Below are 2,297 nucleotides of genomic sequence, written 5' to 3' on the forward strand. Positions count from 1 at the left end.
AATATCAGCGTTATCAAAATATTGTGGCTCAGTACCACGAATGTCTATTTTTTTTAATTATATGCACTTTGACAAGCACAGCTTTTATTTTAATTGGCAAAATATTGATGCGTGCTTGGGCACAATATAAGTTAGGTGTCCATCATCCTCAATTTTAAGTTCAATTTTCTTGCACTGATTTCTTTTCTTTCTGCTTTTTTGTTTTGCTTTGTTTTTGTTTTGTTTTGTTTTGAGACAGAGTTTTGCTCTTGTTGTCCAGGCTGGAGTGCAGAGGCGTCATCTTGGCTCACTGCAACCTCCGCCTCCCGGGTTCAAGCGATTCTTCTGTCTCAGCCTCCCAAGTAGCTGGGATTACAGGCATGAGCCACCACACCTGGCTAATTTTTGTATTTTTAGTAGAGACAGGGTTTTACCATGTTAGGCTGGTCTCGAACTCCTGACCTCAGGTGATCCACCCACCTCCGCCTCCCAAAGTGCTGGGATTACAGGCATAAGCCACCACGCCTGGCCTCTTGCATTGATTTCTTACTCTAGTATTTGTACTATTAATTCAAGAACTAATAATTTTATCTTCAATCCTGAAATTATAAAATTGTTTACAATTTACAATAACATTCAACATGTCAGATGGTTCATCTTTGATAGAATAAATTCTAAACTTGTACTTTCACTCACTTAATTGAATTTAAAAATATCAATCTATTATTGGAGTTTACTTAATCGATTTCCTATTTGAAGCACTTTATAATGCTGAAGAAGTCTTCATTTTACTGTTTGGAAGTTCTGCTAAAGAAGCTACCATATTAGGAGGTATTGGTTCATTTCTTCATGCACAAGAGAATATTAGAATTAAATAATGATATAATTAATTTAGAAGATTTGTAATTTGATCTAAATAAAAATTCTTGCTTCACAAGATGATATGCAAACGTATCTCCATGGCTAGAATTTCTTTCTATTGTCCCTTGTGGGCATAAACTTTTTTAAAATACCGACTTTAAAGTAGAAACGGGATAGACATCCATTTTTTTTTTCTGCTTTTATGTGGTTAATAGTACCAGTATAGGGCCGGGCTCAGTGGCTCACACCCGTAATCCCAGCACTTTAGGAGGCTGAGGTGGGCGGATCACGAGGTCAGGAGATCGAGACCATCCTGGCTAACACGGTGAAACCCTGTCTCTACTAAAAATACAAAAAATTAGCCAGGCGTGGTGGTGAGCGCCTGTAGTCCCAGCTACTCTGGAGGCTGAGGCAAGAGAATGGCATGAACCCGGGAGATGGGGTCATCGAGACCATCCTGGCTAACACAGTGAAACCCATCTCTACTAAAAATACAAAAAATTAGCCAGGCGTGGTGGTGAGCGCCTGTAGTACCAGCTACTCTGGAGGCTGAGGCAAGAGAATGGCATGAACCCGGGAGATGGGGTCACGCCAGAGCTTGGACGTGTTTTGCTATTTGTGAGTGAGAGCTGCTTGTTTTTCCAGTGAGCATCATGCATGGTATGCTTGAATGAGAAGTGTTAGTTACTTTAAATTTGGAAAACTTTGAAAAAAGAGAGATGCATATCACTACACAGATTTCAGGTATAATACATGTTCAATTGATAAGTCTATTCATTGCACATACATCTCGATCACTGATAAAGAAGATCTGGAAGAACTTGTAGTTCAACAAAACCCAGCGTGACTAATTTTAACACAACTATTAGGAAGCTGATTTCATTAAAAATGAAAAATCTTACTCAGTAGCTAAATTGGAAAAGACATTGGGAAAACATGGATAAACCTAGCATGCCCCAGGCAAAACAGTTTGTATGGTCACACTAGGAATAAAAGGAAAAAAAAAGTCAAATTTTACTGTCTATATTTAAAATAAAATTAAAAGAAAAAAACTGAAGTCAATGGGCTCTAAGAATAAAGCTAGACCATGATTCCATCAAAAAGTCTTTGTTGATTAACTCACTTGAGAGATCAACAATACTGAAACCAAGTAGCCTCACATCTGTGAGGCAAAGATAGAGACGAAGATGCTGGATGTCCTCTGGCCAAGAACATTGAGCACTTTGAATCTGTATTTTTAGTGGAGTTATAAAATAGATTTTCATGATTTCTTACACAATGGGAGGAAAAAACAAAAACAAAAGACCCAGAACAAAGAATCTGATAGGCAGCAGATGTCCTGAGAAACATCCACAAGGCAGATGGCAGCAATGTGTCAATAACAAACAGACCTATGGGATAGAAACAGCATGACAAATATCATATGGAAGAATTTACTTAACTATTTCACATTTTCT

This window comes from Homo sapiens, chromosome 21, assembly GCF_000001405.40.
Source record: "Homo sapiens chromosome 21, GRCh38.p14 Primary Assembly".
Taxonomy (NCBI): domain Eukaryota; kingdom Metazoa; phylum Chordata; class Mammalia; order Primates; family Hominidae; genus Homo; species Homo sapiens.